Below are 24,272 nucleotides of genomic sequence, written 5' to 3' on the forward strand. Positions count from 1 at the left end.
TGTGTTTTCATGCATATGCACATAAATTTCTCCCTATCAATGGAATTTCTGAGTCCTGTAGGTTATACATAAGTTTCACTGTGGTTGATACTGCCAGTTAGTTTTCCAAAGCTAATTGTACCAGTTGACACTTCGATCAAAGAGTATGAAAGTTCCAGTTGCGGTCAGGCGCAGTGGCTCACGCCTGTAATCCCAGCACTTTGGGAGGTCGAGGTGGGTGGATCACGAGGTCAGGAGTTCAAGACCAGACTGGCCAGCGTGGCGAAACCCCATCTTTACTAAAAATACAAAGCTTAGTTGGTCGTGGTGGCAGGGCGCCTATAATCCCAGCTATTCAGGAGGCTGAGGCAGGAGAATCGCTTGAACCAGGGAGGCGGAGGTTGCAGTGAGCTGAGTTTGTGCCATTGCACTCTAGCCTGGGCGACGGAACGAGACTCTGTCTCAAAAAAAAAAAAAGAAAAGAAAAAAGAAAGTTAAGAAAGTTCCAGTTGCGCTACATCCTTATCATGGCCTTCTTTCATTTTGACTATTCTGGTGGATGTGTTAGTGCCATCTCATTATAATTTTCTTTTCTTATTCTTTTTGTTATGGAAAATTTCAAATATATGTAAAACTAGAGAAAATTATTTGGCACATCCCAGTATATCTTTGCTCAGCTTTATCAACTCTCAGCTCATGTCAGACTTTTTCTGCTGCTCTGTTGACTCTGATTTGTTTCGCCATTCCTCCTCACAGGTGTCTCAGACTTGGACCAGTCTCTAAAATTCTCTACCTACAAAATGTTCAGCCTCTTGTATTTTAAGTTAATATTGTAGTCCCCGTTTGTCACAGAGGATATCAGGTACAAATTCTTGCAATTTCTTGTACTCTAATGTGTAAACTTAACGATAAGTGTGCCAATGTTTACATCTTTCCTTCAATCTCTTTTTGGTTTTTTAGAGTTAAGGTCTCACTGTATTGTCCAGGCTGGTTGAGCAAGTGATGCTCCCTCCTTGTCTCCCGAAGTGTTGAGATTACAGGCTTGAGCTACGGTACCTAGGGTCTAATAAAAGGTGTCTTATTCCTGATATTTGTTTTTTGGGTTTTTTTTTTTTTTGGTGGTGGGGGACAGGGTCTTTTTCTGTCACCCAAGCTGGAATGCAGTGATGCAGTCACAACTCACTGCAGCCTCGACCTCCCAGGCTCCCACCTCAGTCTCCGTAGTAGCTGGGACTGCAGGCATGCACCACCACGTACAACTAACTTAAAAATTTTTTTTTTAGAGATGGTGCCTTCCTATGTTGCCCAGGTTGGTCTCAAACTCCTGGGCCTAAGCAGTCTTCCTGCCCCAACCTCCCAAAGTGTTGCTATTACAGGTGTGGTGAACAGGTCCTTATTGACAGTTTTCTAGGTCTCATTCTTTTTTGAGGGCTTGATCTTTTAGTCTCTGGTGTTTGGCTATAAGATTTTTAACGTCTCCTATTCTATTTGCTTTTTCCTTTTGACTTATAAATGTACTCAATGTTTCCCATTTCAAAAAGAACCTTTCCTTGACCACATATCATACACTGTCTATTTTCTCCCCTCATCGAGAACAAATTTCTCAAACTAGTAGTCATTTCTGTCTTTGCTCACATCTCTCAAGCACTGTGGTCAGATAATATCCTGTTGCAGCTCCCCAAAACCTTCACTAAATCTGATTTGGCCTAGGACACCGATGATGTTCTAATTGCCAAATCTAGTGGATACATTTCAGTGTCATTTTTTTTACATAATAAATTGTGAGTTCTTCCTAGTGGAAGGCACTGCTAAATGCCTTTTAAATATAAAAGATGACAAGACATAGGGTTATGTATCATAGTAGAAGTATTAGGCTTATCAGATGACAGTGAATTGCCTACTAGCTACTATTTATTGAAGAGTGAACACCAGGATGTGCTGCAGCTGTTCTAAGAGGTTTACATGTGTTATTTAATTTCTCCAATGAAGTAGGCATTATTATTTTTAATCTTCATTTTAGAGAGGAAAACATCTAGTCACGGAGAGGCTAGAAATTGCCTGTGGCCAAGCATTTAGTGAGATAAATTTGAATCTGAACCCAGATCTAACTTTAGAACTCCTACTGTTTAAGAAATGTCTGCATTTGTTGGGAGCTGGACTCAGAGAACTCCTGCTAATGCCTTTGAGATGTGGATACAGGGGAGGAGAAGAAATGATTGTCAGGGAAGGCTTCTTGTTGGTTGATTGATCAATGGGCTAGAATTAGAACATACTTAGTTAGGTCTGAAATAGATAATTTAGTTCAACACCCCTAATTTACATTTGAGCCCTAGGGAAGCAACTTGTCCAAAATCATACAGAGCTTTTTTGTGTAATAAATTTGGCAACAGTCAGATAACCTAGTCTGACATTTATTTTTCTGTTTTTCCAAAAAAAGAAAAAGTTTCACCCAAACCCCTGAACCATGTGCCACCTAAAATGCTACTAGAAATGTAGCATAGAAGAAGAGTATAAATTCCAAACATTTCTCTACCATGGTGATTGGAATAGGATTTCTAATAATGCACCCATTGTATTTTATAGTGACTTCAGAAATGAAATCTTTATTACTGTTGTATGATGTTCGTGGATTGACTTCTACATACAGAGTGAGTGTGGCTCCAGAATCAGTCGGCCTAGATTTGAATCTTGCTCCTTCAGTAGCTTAGATGTGTCTCAGTGTGTTTGTTTCTTCATTGCAAAACACGGATGCATAATATTAGTACCTTTTTCTTGGAGTTGTTATGAGAATGGAAAGAGTTAATACGTGTAGGGCATTTTGAAAAGTGCTTGGTCTGTCATAAGCACTCAGTAACTGTTTAGTTGCTGTTTATTGTTAAGGTGATGGTTTCCCCATTTCTATTCCAGTTTATTTCCTGGGGGCCTGCTTTTTGATTTCTCATTGGGGATAGGGAGCTGGGAATTGATATTTGAAAAGTACAAAGAAGAGCAAGTGTGTATACTTATGCCATTTCTCATTGTTACTAATTTATCTTGCTGTATTAATTTCCTTAGCTCTGAGTACATATTAACAGTCTATACTGAGTAACACTCGTGGGAATTAAAGAACTAAAACTCCTAGACAATGAAGAGCATAATTTCTACTTCCCTGTATTTTCTTCTCTTTCTCAGCAATATATATATATATATATATAGCTATATATATATATATACACATATATATAGCTATATATATACACACACACACATATATATATATATATATATTTTTTTTTTTTTTTTTTTTTTTTTGAGATGGAGTCTCGCTCTGTTACCCAGGCTGGAGTGCAGTGGCGCGATCTTGGCTCACTGCAACCTCTGCCTCCGGGTTTCAAGCGATTCTTCTGCCTCTAGCTGGGACTACAGGTGCCTGCCACCACACCCGGCTAGTTTCTGTATTTTTAGTAGAGACGGGGTTTCGCCATGTGGGCCAGGCTGGTCTTGATGTCCTGACCTTGTGATCTGCCTGTCTCAGCCTCCCAAAGTGCTGGGATTACAGGCGTGAGCCACGGCACCCGGCCTTAGCAGTATTTAAAGCCTTAGTTGGTAGAGTTAATTAGTGTTAACATATTTAAAGTGTTTTTCCCTTCTAGAAACTGGGATACTCACTATTTAGATGACTTTCAAATATTGCTAATCTCAAAGCAACTTCCTGGGAAGAAGAAAGGCAAAGGTTGGAGTTAGGGTCTGGCAGAGGGGGAAAGGAAATGGTGCAAATAGCATGGTGGTCACCTTTTTGTATAGAGTTTAGAGTATCTCAGTGACTTGCTAACCTAGACATCTATAGTATTTGTAATTAAATGCACAAAATTACACTTGTCTTTATCAATCTTCTTCTTCATTTTCTCGAACCTCTAAATCTACTTATAAATCTTTTAACATACTAGTTCCTGATTTGTCTAACTTATTTTCTTCCTTTTTTTTTTTTTTGAGAAGGACTCTTGCTCTGTCACCAGGCTGGAGTGCAATGGTGCAATCTTGGCTCACTGCAGCCCCTGCCTCCCAGGTTCCAGTGATTCTCCTGCCTCAGCCTCCTGGGTAGCTGGGATTACAGGCACATGCCACCACGCCAAGCTAATTTTTGTGTTTTTAGTAGAGATGGGGTTTCATCCTGGCCAGGCTGGTCTCAAACTCTTGATTTCAGGTGATCCGCCTGCCTTGGCCTCCGAAAGTGCTGGGATTATAGGCATGAGCCACCGCGCCCGGCCTCTAACTTATTTCTTAAAGTTGCTGTAGTGAATCATTTTTTGACTATTATTGAGTGTGTGTTTTGACACAGCGTCTTGCTCTGTTGCCCAGGCTGGAGGGCAGAGGCGCAGTCATGGCTCGTTGCAGCCTCAGCTTCCCAGGCTCAAGTGATTCTCCTATTCAGCCTTCCTAGTAGCTGGGACCACAGGCGTGCACTACCACACCTGGCTCATGTTTTGATTTTTTGTAAATATGAGCTCTCACTATGATGTACCCTGCTTAGATCTACCATGCCTGGCTAATTTTTTTATTTTTTTGTAGGTATGAATTCTCACTATGTTGCCCAGGTTGGTCTTGAACTCCTGGACTCAAGTGATCTTTCCTCCTCAGCGCCTCCGAAAGTGCTGGGATGGTTACAGGGGTGAGCCATATTATTGTGTTTTTATAGTAAGTCTTCTGATTTCTATGATTCGAATTCAGCATTCACATTCAGAATGTGTTCTCCCTTTAAAATAGTAACCCTTATGACGGGTTTTGACATTTTTCACAAAGCTCAATATTAAATAAGTTCTTCATAACATTTGGTATTAAGGTCATATCCCCTTTCCAAGCAACCGAACAAGCATGTAAGACTTTGGAATATAAATTTAAGTTCCTCTTATTGGCTGGGCACGTTGGCTTACACCTGTACTCCCAGCATTTTGATAGCCCCAGGCAGGTGGATCGCCTGAGTTCGGGAGTTCAAGACCAGCCTGAATAACACAGTGAGACCCCATCTCTACAAAAAAATACAAAAATTAGTGGGGCATGGTGGCGTGCACCTGTAGTCCCAGCTACTCGAGAGGCTAAGGTGGGAGGATGGCTTGAGCCCAGCAGGTGGAGGCTGCAGTGAGCCAAGATTGTGTCACTGCACTCTAGCCTGGGTGACAGAGCCAGACTCTGCCTCCAAAATAAAGAAAACTCCTGTTTTTATTTGTAAAACTTTTCATTTTTTTGTTAATTTCTTTGGAATGGCGCCAGATATTTCGAGAAGAATCATGTATCAGTGTGTAATCTTTTTTCCTTTATTTCATCCTAGAGATAGCTGAAAGATAACAGCTCTTTTCGTCTATAGAATGAAGAATACGTAGTTGTGATTTTAGAGTATCCACAATAAAAGTTTTTCTTAACATACTTCTTTTATGTCAACAACTATACATAAAGTAGCATCAGTGTTCATTTCTTCTCAGATTTGCTAACATTTCTCATCAAAAAATAAGTATCCTGTCTTTCCTTCCATCAGTATGTGACCAGGCTCGCTCAATTCCCTGAGCTGTTTCTCCCATGTAGGCTTCATTGTTCGGGTTCTTTGCTTCTCTGGATGCACAGTCACCCCAGGGCTCCCTTCTCATGCCTTATGGTCCTCTCTCCCATCACCGGTCTGCCTTCAGATAGCTCCTTCCTTTCACTTTCCCTCTACTCTGAGCTCCCTCCTTCTACTTGTCCAAGGCTGGAAGGGAGAAGGCTGACTGAATAAGTCTAGGGACACACCCTCCAGAGAGGAAGCACGTTCACTTCCAGTTAAGTTAGTATGTGCTTCAGAATAGGGACATGTAAATACCTAGAGGAAATGTATAAAACAGAGGAGGAAGCAATTAACACTGCCTGTGGGGATCAGGGGAACTTCTGAGATGAGCTGACAAGTAAAGTGCATTATTTATTTTTTTTCTTTTTGAGACAGTGTCTCACTCTGTCTCCTAGGCTGAAGTGCAGTGGTGTGATCTCAGCTCACTGCAACCTCTGCCTCCCTGGTTCAAGCAATTCTCCTGCCTCAGCCTCCCAAGTAACTGGGACTACAGGCGCCCACCACCATGCCCAGCTAATTTTTTGTATTTTTAATAGAGACGCGGTTTCACCATGTTGGCCAGGCTGGTCTCAAACTCTTGACCTCAAATGATCCGCCCGTCTCAGCCTCCCAAAGTGCTGGGATTACAGGCATGAGCCACCATGCCCAACCTAAAATGTATTTTGATAAATGACTAGAGGTGCTCTCTGGGGACAAGGTGGAGCAAGAGAGAAAAGGGACTTTTACACATAGAAGGAAAAGCATATGCCAACAGTGTTCCACACATGTGGACTGATTTGTCTTTTTCCCCTTAGTGCCTCCTCTGATTTGTTGTTTTTATTATTGGTCCCAGACCAAAACAATCTCACTGTTGTGGTTCATTTTGTTGTCAATTTTTTTCACTATTTGTAAATGTACCGTCATTCATTCCTAGTGCAATTTCCCTTCTCTTATACAAAGGCACTTGTGCCTGTGAACATTGTTTTGCCTGCCACTTCCCTCAGAGATCTCAAAATTGTTATCTGCTTACCTCCAGGCATCCAGACTTGCCTGATTGCTGTTTTATTGTTACAACAAAGTGCTTTGTTGACTGCTTAGATGTCAAGACAGATTATGCAGTTATGCAGTTGCCTAACTCATAATTCATAGCTCCTCTCTGTCCCTGCTTGAATTCTACAATGAGTCATGATCTTTAAAATCCCTGTGCATGTGCCATCACTGATCAGGGTTTACATCTAGTATCTTTCTGGGATAGGTTAAAAACACAGAAAATATGTTTCAAAGTGTTCCTTTTGTTTTGTTTCCTCAGCGATAGAAAAAAGAAAACCTTCATTCAACAAATATTTGTTGAATGCCAAGTGCCCAAAATTTTGCTCTGCTAAAAAAAAACCAGTGATGATCAAGAACAGCATGAGCTTTGCCACCAAAGTCAAATGTGAAATAGTCCCTGGAGGCAGAGGGTGAGCGCAGTTTCAGTAAAGTGAGGAAAGTGCCCGTGATGAAAGCATTGTTAGTGCTAGTCCGAGGAGTAATTAGAGGACATATGTTCTGGAGGAAGGGGCTGAACTGAGACCATAGTAAGCCTAAAAGGTGGGATGGAGCAGAAGAGGAGGTATCTTTTTTTTTTTCTTTTTAAGATGGAGTCTCTCTCTGTTGCCCAGGCTGGAGTGCAGTGGTGCGACCTCGGCTCACTGCAACCTCCACCTCCCGGGTTCAAGCCATTCTCCTGCTTCAGCCTCCTGAGCAGCTGAGACCGTAGGCATGTGCCACCACGTCCGGCTAATTTTTATATTTTAGTAGAGATGGGGTTTCACCGTGTTAGCCAGGATGGTCTCAGATCTCCTGACCTCGTGATCCGCCTGCCTTGGCCTCCCACAGTGCTGGGATTACAGGTGTGAGCCACCGCGCCCAGCAAGAGGAGGTATCTTACACTGTGCTCGTGCTGAGTGAGGCGAGATGATGATGGAGATGATGATGGCTGTATTATACTGTGGGAGTGGGAAGTGGTAAGAAGCTAAAGGTGCTAGAGGGTGGCTAGTCAAAGGACCTTGAGGGAGAATTAAGGTGTCTGAATCAATGAGGAGCGACCAGAGATTGTCAGACATGTCAGTGACGTCTTTTTTACAAAAGGAGTTATAGGCTGGATGCAGTGACCCATGCCTGTAATTCCAGCACTTTGGGAGGCTGAGGTGGGAGGATTACTTGAGCCCTGGAGTTCAAGACCAGCTTGGGCAACATAACGAGACTGCAACTCCACTGGGAAAATAAAAATAAAAATAAAATTAGTGGGCATGGTGGCACATACCTGTAGTCCCAGCTCCTTGGGAGGCTGAGGCAGGAGAGGATCCCTTGAGCCCAGGGGTTTGAGGCCACAGTGAGCCTTGGTTGTGCCACAGCACTTCAGCCTGGGCAACAGAGTGAGACCCTGTTTCAAAAAAATAGATAAATAAAAGCAATTATATAGAGAACACTCTGGGTGAAGTATGGAGAACAAGTTAGAATGAGAAAGTGTGGTTGCAGGGAAGCCAGTTAGCAGGCTACATCCAGGCCACGTGAAAGATAATAGTGGCCTGGATATAGGTAAAAATGGTTGGATTTGGAATGTATTAAAGAGGACATAGTATGCTTTGAATGAGTGAACGTTGATACCCTGCTGCCTTTCATTTTGTCTCCAGGTTTGTGCAGATGATTGGTGATGCAGCTATTTCTTGCATCTGTGATCTTATGCAGGGATTGATTGCCAAAAGTGTTGGTAGTAGGTCACGTCACTGAGATAAGGAGTTCAAAGGAGAAATTTAGGGTTGTGCTGGGGAAACAAACAGTTTGATCAAACATCATCTCAGCTTGCTGCCACTGGTCCCCCTGCCTCCAAATCAAGTATGTGGGTTGAATTATAAAATTACCCCCATATTTTCTTGTGTTATTAGAAGTCTTCCAGCCCAGCTTTAAAACTGTCGCTGGTTTGTGCTTTCCTTATTTTAGATTCTCAGGGGATCTACAAGGATATCCCTATTACCTAAACAGACTTCTTCCTGCTCTTGAATTTTCTTGTCTCATATCCTCATTTTTCTTATTTCAGTGCCTTTATGATCTTTCACTTCCCTCTTCTCCTTCCACATTAGTCTGGATTAAGTAACTGGTATTATTCAACATTTACTTGGATTTTGCATAAGAAGCAGTTCTTTGATGTCATTGTCTGTAATGCCTGTTCCACAGGTTTTGTAAGGATCAGATGAAATAATTAAAGCCCTTTGCATAATGCTTGACTTACAGATAAGCAATAAATTTAAATTCCTGTGCACTTCTGTATATTAATGTACATAATTTTTTTTTCTCCTGAGAGGGACCATCCAGGCAGTTCCCTCGTGTCTTTATTGGCTAATGGATTGAAAAGTACATTTTTCCATCATTTTGCGAATTCCCAATATGTTTAAATCTTCTTGAGAATTTCTGCTGAAATCATTACCTTCATGTCCAGTTGAACAGTATACCCTATCCATGATGAGAAACTTCACTGCTCTGTATGCAGTCTGTATTAGTCTGCTCAGGCTGCCGTAACAAAATGCCATAGACAAAATACCAATACAAAATACCATAGATGCCTTAAACAATAGAAACTTGGTTTTTCACAGCTCTGGAGTCTGGGCAGTCCAAGATTAAGATGCCAGCAAGTTTGGTTTCTGGTGAGGGCCCTCTTCCTGGCTGGTAGACAGCTGCCGTCTCCCTCTATCCTCACGTGGCAGAGAGAGTGCTCCGGTATTTCCTTCTCTTAAGCGGATGTCAGTTCCTTCTGTTCTGGGCTCTATGCTATGGCCTCATTTAATCTTAATCACTTCCTTAAAAGCCCTACCTCTAATACAGTCACATAGGAGGTCAGGGATTCAACATATGAATTTTGGGGGGGACATGATTTACTCTACCGCCGTCCCCCAAAAGTATTTTTATTCTATTAATATATTTATTAGTATACATTATATGTTTAATGTTATGTTCCTTTTGAAAGACCTAATTTCATTCGATGATTGTATTTGCTGTTGGGTGAATGGAACCAAAGCTGAAGGTGGCAATATTTAGTCATACTTCTATTTATATGAGTGAAAGTCAGCATTACTCCCCAGAAGCCAAATTTTAGTAGCATCTTTTTGCTGGAGGGGACTGGTTCTACCTGATCTGTTTGTCCTTGCTCTTTGTCTGAGGTAGGTGAGCTTGAATTTCTTACTCTGATTTTCCTGACTGTTGTTGGACATTTAGGTTGTTTTCAGATGTTTTTGTGTTTCAGAGAGCATCAGTGAGTAATATCCTTGTACATATGAGCTGTTCAGTTATGAGAGTTCAGCTGCAGTTCCTAAAAGTGGATTAGCACACTGACATTTCACACGTCTTCTACTGCGTTGACAGTAGGTTGTGCTGATTTACTTTCTGTGTTGCCACAGTTTCCAACACTTTTGCCAAGATTGGCCTTATTGAATTTTTTTAACCACCGTCAATTTTATATTTGAAATATGTTACGTTATTCTAATTTATATTTATTTAATTATAAATATGGTTGTGTGCTCTCTTGTTAATCTTTTTTAAAAATAGACTTTATTTTGTACAGCAGTTTTAGATTTACAGCAAAATCGAGCAGAAAGTACAGAGTTCCCCTGTACCCCTTTCCCCCATGCACCAACATCTCCCTCGCTTGTCAACACGCCCCCCACCAGAGTGTACCTTGTTAGGATTGATGAACCCGTATTGACATAACATTACCACCTAGAGTCCATAGTTTACATCGGGGTTCACTCTTGGTTTTGTACATTCTACGGGTTTGGACAAATGGATGACATGCAGCCACCATTATAGTATTACACAGAAGCATTTCCCTGCCCTAAAAATCCTATGTTCCGGCTGGGCGCGGTGGCTCACGCCTGTAATCCCAGCACTTTGGGAGGCCGAGGCGGGCGGATCACGAGGTCAGGAGATCAAGACCATCCTGGCTAACACGGCGAAACCCCGTCTCTACTAAAAATACAAAAAAAAAAATTAGCCGGACGTGGTGGTGGGCACCTGTAGTCCCAGCTACCCGGGAGGCTTGAGGCAGGAGAATGGCGTGAACCTGGGAGACGGAGCTTGCAGTGAGCCAAGATCGCGCCACTACATTCCAGCCCAGGCGTCAGAGCAAGACTCTGTCTCAAAAAAAAAATCCTATGTTCCACCTATTCTCCTCTTCCCTCTTTCCCCTGCATCTGTTGATTTTTTTTTTTTTTTTTACTCTCTGTAGTTTTGCCTTTTCCAGAATGTCATATAGTTGTAATCATACAGTGGCTTTTTTCACTTAGTAATATGCATTTGTGTTTAAGTTTACTCCATGTCTTTTCATGGCTAGAGTATGCATTTTTGACTTGGTATGCAATACTACAGAAGTAATACTATGTTCTTTTCTAATCAGGAGGTACATAATGTCCATTTGTTCTGGTGAAGGTAAATTTGATCGTTTGATTAAGGTGATGTATACCAGATTTCTTCACTGTAAAGTTACTACTTTTTCCTCTGTAATGAAAGTGTTTTGTGGGAAGATACTTTGACATTATGTAACAAATGCTGTTTCTCATCATAGCTTTCAGCACCAATTTTCAATATTTTGCCTGAAACAATTATTACTCTGTTTTTGCCAAATGGTGATTTTTTAATAAGATTTTTAGTATAGTTAAATTTTTGTCTTCTTCCATAGCTTTTGTGTTTTTCTGTTCTACTTTTCTCTAAGGCTTTCCTCACTCAAAACATTATTAAAAATTCTCATGTTTACTTCTCTTTTTAAAAAACTAGTGATAACATTTCATGAGCACTTTCTAATGTTTATGACTTTAAGATTGCCAGAAGGAAAAGATCACTGAAGACCACCTAGGTTAACAAACAGCTTAAATTTGAAAAAACAAGTGAAAGAAGCCAACGCATGTTATCAGTTCATAACATTACCTCCCTTCTAGAAGAATAGCTTCTTCCATTCTCTCCAGTTTGCTTCCAATCTTATAGTGGAACCAGATCTTCTAAGGCCTTAGTAGGAGGTGACATCAAGGGCTAAAAAAATACTCTTTGATGAACTCATGTCACTTTGATGCTCAGATATAAGTCAGACTGTGCAGAAGAGAAGCTTTAAAGATCCAAGTGATTTAGAAACTGGAGATAAGAAAAGCAAGCAGAAAACTGGGAAATGTTATTTCAGTCACTGCCAATATGGGATGTGGTTCCGTCTGTTTATTTACATAATATGATCTAGTGCTGTGCACTTATTAACTAGACTGCAAATACTTGCAGCTTAATAATGTGCCGCATATTTTATCACATCCTGAATTATAAATTTGAATAAAATTGTAAGAAGATCTGATATTTGATTTACCTTTTAAACCGTGTTTCAACCTGCAAGTAGTTTGCAAGTTAAATTGTTAATCTACTTGCTGCATAAATAAAATTGGGCAGTATTAGGAAAGATGCCCAGGGCCGCTGTCTGAGACCAAGTGTCTGTCTTTTGTCTTATGTAATTTGTGTCTGTTGCGTACTTCAGCACTTGAAAAACTATTCCTCTGTGAAAAGAGGCCCTTCAGTGTTGCTAGGAAACCCAGGAACTGTTTTATATGATCTCAAGATTTTAATTCATTTCTAGTGCAACACAGTGAAGAGGAATTGAAGGCTTTAACCATTTTTTGAAAGAAAAACAAAAAACAAAAAAATCTAAAAGTCATTAAAAAATCGTTTTAAAATATCATAAGCAGCATACTCATTTAAAAAAATCTCAGAATAAAGCAGAAATGGACAGTTGTCTTCCTTAAAATCCTAATTCTCAAAAGTAGTTGCTGTTAACAATTTGACATATATCTTTTCAGATTATTTTGTTACACATATATGACTATTTTAAGGCAGTTTTTTAAAATTACTTTTTATGTATCAAACGAGAAAGAAAGATAATATAAAAACTAAGTTGTATTTTATTTTGATCACTTTGTATAGTGTAAGTACTGAGAACATGAATTTGGGGGATTTCAACTTTTACAAATGTAGGTGTCTAATTGAAGTTATTTAACATTTTTATTTGATTTCTACAAAATGAAAACTCTAAAAACACACAGTAACCCGGAAGTTTTTATTGTTATTGATAGCAATTTTTTATTCTCACTTATATATTCTTAGCTCCATATTTGAACTATTTCTTGGTTTGTTTTGGAATGAGATTTTTATTTTTAAGGGTACTTAGATTACTCATATTATTTGATGCATGATGTGTTAATAACCAAACTAAATTTCTGAAATTGATCAAATTTATAATTCACTCATTAATTCTTTTCTATTATGTGCAAAGAACTACAGCAGGAGATAGAGGTAGCCGCAATTTGCAATTTATTTCAGCCCTAATAGAGCTAATGATTTAATAGTAAATCAGGGCATGCATTTTAAAAGTTCGCAAAAATACAAGGTAACATGGGAAGAAGATAAGTTTCTCAACATCTAGGAAGATGTGACAGGCCAGGCACAGTGGCTCAAGCCTGTAATCCCAGCACTTTGGGAGGCAAAGGCAGGAGGATTACTTGAGCCTCAGGAGTTAGAGACCAGCCTGGGTAACATAGTGAGACCTCATCTCTTAAAAAAATAAAAAATAGAACATGTGACACAACTCTGGATGCCACCTAAGTCAGTTTCACCATAAAATTTATAGAGGAAAAAAAATTCCAAGGCAACATATGCTAAGTGCCGAGTAAGTGATACCGATGGTAGAAAGTAAAGTACAATCAGCATTCATAGAGAAAGAAAAATCATTGTAGGGTGGAGAGGTAGAAATGCCTTAATGAATGAGATAGGAATGGAACTGAGTTTATTAGAAATAATAGAGTGTATTTAGGTTACACATTTAGGAGAAACACTTGAGATTATGTACATAAATACCAAATCATATCATTTTAAATAGAAACATGGGCATGAAATGGAGGCCAGAGTAGTTGGACTTTTGGGCTGGATCAGTGGGTTTGGATGATGTCTGATCAATATTTGCTGTATAACAAAACAACTCAAACTCTAGAGGCTTAAAACAAAAATCATGTATTCATGATCCTGTGGGTTGCTAGTTAGACTAGGCTAGGATGGAAAATTATGGGCTCAACAGTGGGGCTGCAGAGAGCTGGTCTAGACTAGGGCTGAGTGTTCGAGGGTTGGCCAGACACCTCCGTTGCCCCCTCTGTGGTTTGTTCACACAGTGGCCGGTGACCGAGGAGGCAAGAGTGGGTGCAGCAAGGGTTTTTGAGGCCTAACCTCGGAACTACACAGGTCATTCCTGGCACATCCTGTTGGTCAAAGCTGGGCAGGCCTCAGGTTTAAGGGAGCAGGTGCAGATAATTTGAATCCCAATTTAAATTTATTTCAGGAGTGCATTTACATGTGATTGAAAGCTTACGATGGTGCCTAAACGTAAATGGTGTTGAATGTAACCAGGATTTTCTTTAGTTCTCAGTCTATTGGCTTTGACTTTATTAAAATTTTATTAGAACTGATAGTCTGTGTATATTAAGCTTATTTTAGGACTAATGGAAAGAATCATGCAGTGACTAACTCCTCTTCATTTTGGTTTGTTCTGTCAAAATTTATTTGAAAAACAACATCAAGATAGTCATGTGGAGAATTAGGACTTTGGATTGATTTACTCCTAATTTTGCTCTAATGTGTTTTTTTTTTTTTTTTTTTTTTTTTGGTGGGAGCAGGGGAAAAGGGAGAGGAAGAGAGAGGCAGGCCCCGTGAACCATACCATATCTTAGTGCTTAGGGCCTCCTCCAGGTCATCATCCAGCTCTGAAGGTTGTCAGAGTCAGGTGACATAGGTCCAAATAGAGTTGCTCTTCAACAGAAAGTAGTGAAACTTAATGGTTATGCACACTTTAGATGTTTGAATTTATACTTAAGAAAATGTTGGGTAATCACAAGTAAACCATAGATGTGACAAACTAGTGCTATGCATACTTTTATAGTATGAATAGGAAAAAAAGTTTTATGTGATTGTTCACTTACAGACTAAATTTGCATTTAATTTTTTAATTTTTTGAGACAGAGTCTTGCTTTGTCACCCAGGCTGGAGGGCAGTGGCACGATCTTGGCTCACTGCAGCCTCTACCTCCCAAGTTCAAGCGATCCTCCTGCCTCAGCCTCCTGAGTAGCTGGGATTACAGGTGCACACCACCACACCCAGCTAGGCTAACTTTTGTATTTTTGGTAAAGATGGGGTTTCACCATGTTGGTGAAATTAAGTTATGTAATTTTAAGACGTCTTTTATAAAATAAAATAAATGTGATTATTGGCTTTTTCAGAAGGGAAATAAAAAGGGATGAACAGTAAGAAGTGTCTCAAAAATAATATGAGTCAACTATTTGGTTTTTTTTGTTTTTTTTTTTTTTTGAGACAGAGTTTCACTGTTATTGCCCAGGCTGGAATGCAATGGCACAATGTCGGCTCACTGCAACCTCCGCCTCCCAGGTTCAAGCAGTTCTTCTGCCTCAGCCTCCCAAGTAGCTGGGATTATAGTCATGTGCCACCATACCCAGCCAATTTTGTATTTCTAGTAGAGATGGGGTTTCACCATGTTGGTCAGGCTGGTCTCGAACTCCTGACTTCAGATGATTCACCTACCTTGGCCTCCTGAATTGCTGGGATTACAGGCGTGAGCCACCGTGCCTGGCTGTACATTTTTAAAAGATAAGTAAATTGACAGTGTTCCTTTTCTTTTTGAATTATCCTCATCAAAACTTATTGCTTAGAAATATTTTTAAGCATTCAATAGAAGGTTATAGAATTAAATCTAATAAAAATTTAAAGAAGCCTTAGCAGAAACTGTGTCACAGTTGATCAGCATATACCCTACCGACAGTGACTTAGTTCCCTGTGTGTTTGTGGTGAGCATGAATTAATGTAGCCTTGAATTTGTATGACATGACTGACCGTATTAGTCCATTCTCACACCGCTATAGAGAAATACCTAAAACTGGGTAATTTATAAAGAAAAGAGGTTTGATTGGCTCTGCAGGCTGTACAGAAAGCATGGCTGGGGAGGCCTCAGGAAACTTACAATCATGGCAGAAGGCGAAGGGGAGGCAGGCACGTCCCACGTGGCCAGAGCAGAGAAGGGGGAGGTGCTGCACACTTTTAAACAACCAGATCTCCTGAGAACTCACTCACTATCAGCAAGGGGGAAATCCACCCCCATGATCCAGTCACCTCCCACCAGGCCTCTCTTCCAACACTGGGGATTACAGTTCAACATGAGATTTGGGCGGGGTCACAAATCCAACCTGTATCACTCACCTTTCAGAGATTCTAGCCAAATTCAGTTTTAAACATCTGCTTGCATATAGAAACCTTCTACCAGTAGAAACTTACATAATGTCAGGAAGTTCACAGCGTTCCTTAAGGGAATTGTATCAAATAAGATGATACTACTTGTGTCATTCTACTTTTACAAAGGCACAAATTAAAAACTGGGCATCTCTTGAGTTTGGACTCCATTCCTCGGGACCCAAACCCCGTCCTGTATCCCTCGCATCAATGTGCTGCTTCTGAATGGCTGCGGGGCACTGTGTGGGCTGTCAGCGTATAGCAAATGCTTAGTCCCTTGTACATTTCTTTCTCTAGATTTCGCCAGAAGTTTGAGTATCACTACTCCTGAAGAGATGATTGAAAAAGCCAAAGGGGAAACTGCCTATCTGCCATGCAAATTTACGCTTAGTCCCGAAGACCAGGGACCGCTGGACATCGAGTGGCTGATATCACCAGCTGATAATCAGAAGGTGGATCAAGTGGTAAGTTTGATATGTCCTTGCTCGCTTAGCAGCTGTCTGTGCAACTATCTGATGTGTCCATCACCTTGCCAGTCACATGGATGGGCTGCAGGGAGCTAGGAAGGAAGCCCCCCAACTTCTCAGGCTTTATGGTCTGGGTGAGGAAGGCAATTGCTCTGGTGGAAATTGAGGACACATGTAATGGAGGGAAATAGATAATGAGTGTGACCTAAGGTTACAGAAGAGCAAAAGATCACTGGAGTTCTTAGAGACACTTCAGGGAAGAAGAGGAACTTATGAAAGTTCTGACAATCTGGATTTGAGGCGGGGAATAGCAGAGGCCTAGATGGAGCAGGCATGACGTTGAGACAGGAGTGTGTGTTGTGTTAGGAGATGGCACATAACTGTGCTTTGTTAAACGTTAGACAGAATTGAAATTTTTAAGTTTTACCCAAGGATTCTGTCAGCAGTAGAAGTGTCATTAGCTATGGTGTAACAACTACATAGTATTACAGTCTATTTTCCTTATTTTTTCAAGTTAAATATCCTGTCCAATGAATTTTTTAAAAGACAAAATCTTTTTAAATTTATTTTTTTTACTTTGACTTTAAAACTTCCCAGTGTAAAAATGAAGTCTTTAGAGCAAAAAACAATCTATAAAATATTTAGTCTTAAATTTAAAAAATCTTAAAACATTGTTTCAGTATTTTTTCTAATCAAAGTAATAAGAGTCTAATGTAGAAAACTTGGAAAGCCAAAAATAGCACAGAGGAGGAAACATGCCTAATAATCTCATCTCCAAATATATGTCATGTTTTACCTTTTCAATGGTTCTAGAATACTTTATTTAGAATGTTGCATATTGGCTTTGTCTGACACATTTAATTTTTTAAAAAGTTAATAAATTATATTAGATCAGGGAGAGGAAAATAAGTCCAAATATTTAGGTAAATATAGTAATATATATATTTGGAAGAGAAATTTTGTTTTTACTTCATTTGTTCATGTAAAAGAAGGGGATATTTAAAAGTTACAAGTAACATCCTTCCATTTAATGGCTGAATCAGTGCAGTTAGGTAATTAATATTTTTGGCAAACCCAGTCGGTTTGCCCTTGATGTTTATGTTAAGGAAATAATTAAGGTGCTTTCCCAAGTTGTGAGTGACTAGAGCCACCCCCTCCAAAGATGTAACCTCTGCCCTGATTCTGTTACCAGAACTTCTTTCTGTTTCCCTGAGCAAAATAAATCGGGCCTGACTCATTTTATCTACTCAGCCTCGTTGCCCTGTTCCCTGTCACTCTTACCTCCCCCTTCTCTCCCTTCTCTCTCTCTGGAGGTGCTGGCACCTAGAGTACAGGCTCCTGTCTGAGGTCCTGCAGTTCCCCGTTCCTGTGACAGTGCAGTGCCTGTCCCGCTTTAGAGCCCAGGACTCTGATCCTGTGCGTAAGATAGGGGAAGCCTAGGAACCATATGGAGAGCGTGGGTCTTCCGTGCTTCTGCTGAGTGAAGCTTGTGACCAGGTGCATGTAGAGACCAAGAAGCACTGTGCCCTGAGCCATTAGCGTGTCTGTTAATGAGAAGAAGACTCCAAGTCGTCCATGCTGAGTGAGAGGCACGGCTTTGCCGTCTACAGGAGTTGTAAGATAAATGTGAAACTGGGACTTGACTCTGAGTGACCGTTTCTGGGTTAAAAACCTAGCTTCTAACCTAAAACACAGTCACATCAGACCAAAAGAAAGAAGGGTTAGGAAGAGATTGATGCAGAAGAGGATGCATACATGGAATTTAAACTACATATGTTAACAGAGCCCCTATTTTAATATATTTCAGCTAGTAGACAGAATGGTTAAAAACTAGGAATTGGAGGACTGAGCTGGAAAAATTTGCATTCTTATTCCTTATGTGATCTCTTTAGTCAGCAGTTACTGTAAACAGCGTGCTTGGGCAGTGTTTTGTATACTTTAATTGTATATACTTAAGCCTTAAAACAACATAGTAAGGTGAGAATTATTATACATATGGCAAGGAGGAAACAGAGGCCCAGAGATTTTCATGCCCAGAGTAACAAGTGCAGTTGGGATTTGAACCCAGGTCCCTCTGACTCTCACAGCTGCTCTGTTATCATTTGCACTGTCCTCTGCTGCCTCCCGTGTTTCATAAACCTGTTTCCTCATGTGTAAAGTAGGAACAGCTATACCTAGCATCTCAGGGTCATTACAAGAATTCAGCAAAATACTGTATTCACACGCATTCTGTAAGCTTATAAATGATATTGAAATGATAATCATGTACTGTGCCAAGTTAAATGGATCTGGTCTGCATCTTTGTTGTGTGACTTGGCAAAAGCTGATCAGTGAGAGCCACTTCTTTCCTCAGCCTAAATGTCAATGTGGACAATGCCATCGTCCTTGCAGGGTTGTGAAGGGGAATCTGAAGACATGTAAAATTTCATGGTAAATTTCCCATTCCTTAACTAATATTTATAACATTGTTTTCTGGGAAGACACTAAGCTAGCTTATAAAATAACCAACAGCGGGAATGCATCTTATTTCTCAAGCCCCCCTTAAAGGACTACTAAGGTGTGTGTGGAGCATAATGAGCTATTGGAAGTATAAGAGATTGAACTCTACGACCTTTAGAGTTAGATTCCACAGGCAAATTATGATAAGCCTTTTAATCAAAGGAAATTAATCAAAGGAAGATAGAGTAGCCAGATTTGTGGAGTAGTCAGTGTTGCTTTTGACAAGTGGGTATGTCAAGAAGATTGAGCAAATAAAGTAATAGCTTGTGTTTACAGAGTAAGTCAGCTGTGGACCCGTCAACTACTTCTTTTATTTACTTAGCAAACTGGTATTGAGCGCAACCTAGATGCACACAGTTCATATATAAATAAAAGATCTAGCTGGGCACGGTAGCTCATGCCTGTAGTCCCAGCACTTTGGGAGGCCGAGGCAGGCGGATCACAAGGTCAGGAGTTCGAGACCAACCAGGCCAATGTGGTGAAACCCTGTCTCTACTAAAAATACAAAAATTAGCAGACGTGGTGGTGGGCACTTGTAGTCCCAGCTCCTCGGGAGGCTGAGGCAGGAGAATCGCTTTAACCCAGGAGGTGGAGGTTGCATTGAGCCAAGATCGCACCACTGCACTCCTGCCTGGGCGATAGAACAAGACTGTCTCAAAAAAAAAAAAAAAAGATCTTTGGTGGGTTGGGGTGGGGTCAGTGTGGTTGGGAAGGAGATAATACAGAAGAGAACCCAAGTTCCTCCACTCAAGAAGTTTCTGCAGAATAAACCTGGAAAACAGTGTTCTTAGATGACATTTATTCTGATTATACTGCCCATAATTAGCACTCAGGTAAAAGAAATTAATTGCAGGATACAGGCCGTAGTTGTGTTTCCTGATTATTATTTGAGTTTTGGCATCACTGCTCTTTGGCCCATGGGTCTCGTATAACCAGAATGAAGAGATTTCATTAGCAAAAAAGAAAAATTATAAAATGTGTTAAATTAATGTTAGAGATTGTTAGAGATGACTACTACAGTTCTCTTCCAAGAAAATATTCCAAACATAGATTTTATTTTCCCTCTAAAGCATCCAGCCTTTAGTAATTGCCTTCAAAGGCTATGTGTGGTTCAGAAAACTCAGTGGGTTAGGCACAGGTCTTTGCTTTAGTTACAGAAGATTCATTCAAAGGACTTGTTAACCTGGGTACACATATCTTAAGAGGTTTATTTTATGATTTTATCTGTTAGAGTCTAGAGCCCTCAAGTAACTCCAACTTAGTATTAAGACCAAACAAAGTTATCTTTTTGTTAGATTCCACAGGCAAATTATGATAAGCCTTTGTAGGGGCAGGGGGCAGTAGGTACTTGATTTTGTTACACTTGGTTGGCAAACTACAGCCTCAGAGGCAGTTGAAAAATAGAGTATATAAGAATGAGCAGGCCAGGCATGGTGACTCACACCTATAATCACAGCACTTTGGGAAGCCAAGGCGGGTGGATCCCCTGAGGTCAGAAGTTCGAGACCAGCCTGGCCAACGTGGTGAAATCCCTTGTCTACTAAAAATACAAAAATTAGCTGGCTGTGGTGGCACGTGCCTGAAGTCTCAGCTACTGGGGAGGCAGAGGCGAGAGAATTGCTTGAACCCGGGAGGTGGAGGGAGCCGAGATCTCACCATTGCACTCCAGCCTGGGCCACAGACACAGACTCCACCTCAAAAAGAAAAGAAAAGGAAAAGAAAAGACAACGAACAAGCAAATCTGTGTTCTTGCCCAATCTTACTAAATTGCTCTCTAGGACAGTATAGGGCTTTACTATTTTATCATGTTGCGTCTTGGTTTCCCCATTAAAAATAGAAGTCTGGGACTATACCCAAGGATCACATTGATTCCTTTCCATTTTCTCGTTCTGTGGTTTGGGTAGTTTTATGTTTCCCCATAATACTGTGTTCTTCTTTTTCTTTTCTGGGAGGGGGCGTTCTGTAGCAGCAGGTGTATCCAGGGCTCCTTTAAGAGACAGTTTTTTTTGTGTGTGTTTGTTTTTCCTCCTGTCTAATTTTGGCTTTCTTTTAGATTATTTTATATTCTGGAGACAAAATTTATGATGACTACTATCCAGATCTGAAAGGCCGAGTACATTTTACGAGTAATGATCTCAAATCTGGTGATGCATCAATAAATGTAACGAATTTACAACTGTCAGATATTGGCACATATCAGTGCAAAGTGAAAAAAGCTCCTGGTGTTGCAAATAAGAAGATTCATCTGGTAGTTCTTGGTAAGTTATTTTTATTTGTGTTAACGGGTTACTGAGTAAGAGAATGATTAGTCATAGTACTGTAGTAGCAGCACTTGTATAAAATAAAGCTTAATTTTTTAGAATAACAATTTTAAACACTTGAAGTACTTCTATGTTGGATAGCATCAAATATAAAACTAGCTTTTGGTTTTGGATAGGAAAAGTAAGAAGTGATCAACTTCTTTGTGAAATTCATAAGAGTTTGAAAATAAGTGAACGAGTATTATGGTATGGAGGAAGAACCCTAAGCTAGGAGTTAGGAGATCTAGGGTTTTTGCCTTGTCCTCAGAATTTGCCCTGAGAATTATGTAGAACCATGTTTCTATGATGAATAATTTAAGCATTTAGAATGGAGATGAAGAAATATGGAAGAAGGAATATTGAATTCAAGTAAGGCCATTAGGCATCACATAGTATTTAAGCTTCTTGGCATCACTGTTTTTCATCATTAAAGTGAGGAGATGAGACATTCACTGATATCTTATAGCCCTCTCTGTAATAGTTAATAGGGAGGTAGTGTAAACTGCTTTGTAAACTGCCAAAGACTACAGAGTTTATTATCCTTCTCTAGATTCTGTGATAATGTCTACAAGCACTCTTAATCCCTTCAAATTGAGAAACTGAAAGATAATAGTTCATAAATATACTTCTAAAACCATACTGTGGTAAGCTTTACACAAAATGTACATTGGCTACCATGTAGAAAAACATAGCTGTCTAGCTCTCTGCTTAATGACAGTAAATTCCCCTGTCCTCATGTTTTAGGGGACACTTGGGGATTGACTTTCATAGGAAAAGCTGATGCTAGAATTGTCTAGCATGACTGGAAATAACTGATCAGGGCAGGCCTCCCACATCAACATTTACCTCATTCCTTCTGTTTAGAGAACTGATTAGGGGTGGGGTAGAATATTCTAAAGAATACTCTTTATTTTAATTTTAATTTAATTTAATATTATTTTATTTGAGATGGAGTCACACTCTGTTACCCAGGCTAGAGTGCAGTGGCACAATCTCTGCTCACTACAGCCTCTGCTTCCCAGGTTCAAGTGATTCTCTTGCCTCAGCCTCCCAAGTAGCTGGGATTACAGGCATGCACCACCACGCCTGGCTAATTTTTGTATGTTTAGTAGAAACAGTGTTTCACCATGTTGGCCAGGCTGGTCTCAAACTCCTGACCTCAGGTGATCCACCCACCTCGGCCACCCAGAGTGCTGAGATTACAAGAATACTCTTTAGGAGAGCAATGTTCAAGATGACTTGGGCACCCAACACTTAACTACTCCTCCTACAAGTAGACCCAGCACTTAACTATTACTCCTAGAGACTAGGAACAAGAGTGGGGATTTTTGTGTACCTTCATGGCAAATTCATGCATTGTCTTGGTAGATAGACTCTGCTGGCAGCATCATTGAATGGGGACCTGAAGAGGTCCTGGTGAAATGCATCATTCTGAATCGCACTAACTAAAAATGTTTCTTGTGGTGTGAAAGTAAGTCAATCTAAAAAAGGAACCAGGAAAAGGAATATGGTAATGTTGGAAATTTGAATTTTCTGTGTCTTCATTGAGTAAACATGGAGTAACTTTTCTTTGTTATAAATGTATAAGCAAGTGAAAGATTAACACCTGGTCCGAATTCTTTTTTTTTTTTTTTTTTTCTTTTTGAGACCAAGTCTCGCTCTGTCACCCAGGCTGGAGTGCAGTGGCATGATCTCGGCTCACGGCAACCTCCGCCTCCTGGGTTCAAGCAATACTCTTGTCTTGCCGTCCTGATTAGTTGGGACTACAGGTGCCCGCCACCACACCTGGCTGATTTTATTTTTGGTAGAGACGGGGTTTCACCATGTTAGCCAGGATGGTCTCAATCTCCAGACCTCGTGATCTGCCTGCCTTGGCCTCCCAAAGTGCTGGGATTACAGGTGTGAGCCACCGCACCCAGCTACCTGGTCTGAATTCTTATCACAGACCCAGGAATTCCTGAGATTATAACCCTGACTATACTTTCTTCCAACACTGCTCTCTAGGAACTATTAAGTTGGAAGATGTATACGGAATATTAACTGGTTCATGATATGCGAAGCAGAAGATATTTGATTATCGGAATTATTTATTGTGAAACCCCTGTTTGATGGGACAGTTACACTGGGATTAATGGGGTTGGCACATATTCCCAGAAGAGTTGTGGACAAGCATGTTTGTGTGTTTGTGTATTGTCTGGATCCTGTGGGACCAGGTTCAGGGTCACATTTGCAGTTCTCAACTGAAGAGAACATTACAGCAGAACATGTCCCAAAAAGGAACCTGAGTTGGGTGGTAGGGGATGGCACATGATGTGGCTCAGTTCACTCATGGCAGGAGCCGTGACTGCCCGGCAGTAGGAATGGCCTTTTTATATTAAACTTTGAACCCCAGCATGTCCTAAGAATGGGTAAGTGGGAAGCATTGACACAGTTCACCCTGAGTTACTCCTGGGGAGAATTTTATAGCCAAGTCAGCCTTCAGTTCAAACCAAGGAGGGGGAGAGGGGATAAACTGGGGATGAGAGGAGAAAGCAGGGAAGTGATTGCCGAAGAGAAGTAGGGACGACTGGAACTCTGATCTGGACGAGGTTGTGTCAGAGCCAGAGAATTCCTTGTAGCTTTTTCTTCCATGTTTTTAGATGAGTCGTGACTGCTGCTGGGAGAAACCACCAGAATTATATTCTCTCGAAGGTGAAAATTAATTGGATTGAAGCTTATCTGTTAGTTTTGCCTGGAAATTCTGCCTGGATTATCTGGGGCAAAAGATAAGATGAAGTGCCCTCTAGTGACCCAACTAAGTGGTGGTCACTGGAGCTCATTTGATTGACTGATAGTGGCTCTGTCTAATGCTTTGGTTCTTTTGTGGGAAATCTGAAGTAGTTGCCATCATGGCATTCACAGGGTAATGGCAGTGCATTCATTGAGCTTGTGTGTTATGTGGCCGTTAACCCACAGAGATGATTGATAGTCGTCTGGATGTGAGGGGCAGCATGTTGCTGTAGCTTGCTCCATTGCCGTGCCTGCCTTGCTCTTTCAGACACAGCAGAAGCTCTTGTGGATGCAGCTCAGTAAAGAAGCAGAAGTGGGAAATGATAACAAAGAGAGTTGATAGAAGGTTACTGTTGTGGCCAT

The 24,272-nt window shown here is 40.6% G+C and overlaps 1 protein-coding gene across 10 annotated transcripts in view; it reads left to right on the plus strand.

Moving 5' to 3' along the window:
* CXADR (CXADR cell adhesion molecule) overlaps positions 1–24,272 on the plus strand; it is a 123,220-nt gene that overhangs the window by 17,813 nt on the left and 81,135 nt on the right. For 9 of the 10 annotated variants that reach the window (XR_001754814.2, XM_011529476.3, XM_011529478.3 and 6 more), the window contains exons 2-3: positions 16,172–16,338; positions 20,894–21,098. Coding sequence is in view for 9 of the 10 variants with exons in the window: in XM_011529476.3 (XP_011527778.1) it covers positions 16,172–16,338; positions 20,894–21,098 (372 nt within the window). In the remaining variant the exon portion in view is untranslated. The remainder of the gene's footprint in view (positions 1–16,171; positions 16,339–20,893; positions 21,099–24,272) is intronic. The other variant, NM_001207065.2, reaches the window with a different exon arrangement.

This window comes from Homo sapiens, chromosome 21 (genome assembly GCF_000001405.40).
Source record: "Homo sapiens chromosome 21, GRCh38.p14 Primary Assembly".
NCBI classification, from domain to species: domain Eukaryota; kingdom Metazoa; phylum Chordata; class Mammalia; order Primates; family Hominidae; genus Homo; species Homo sapiens.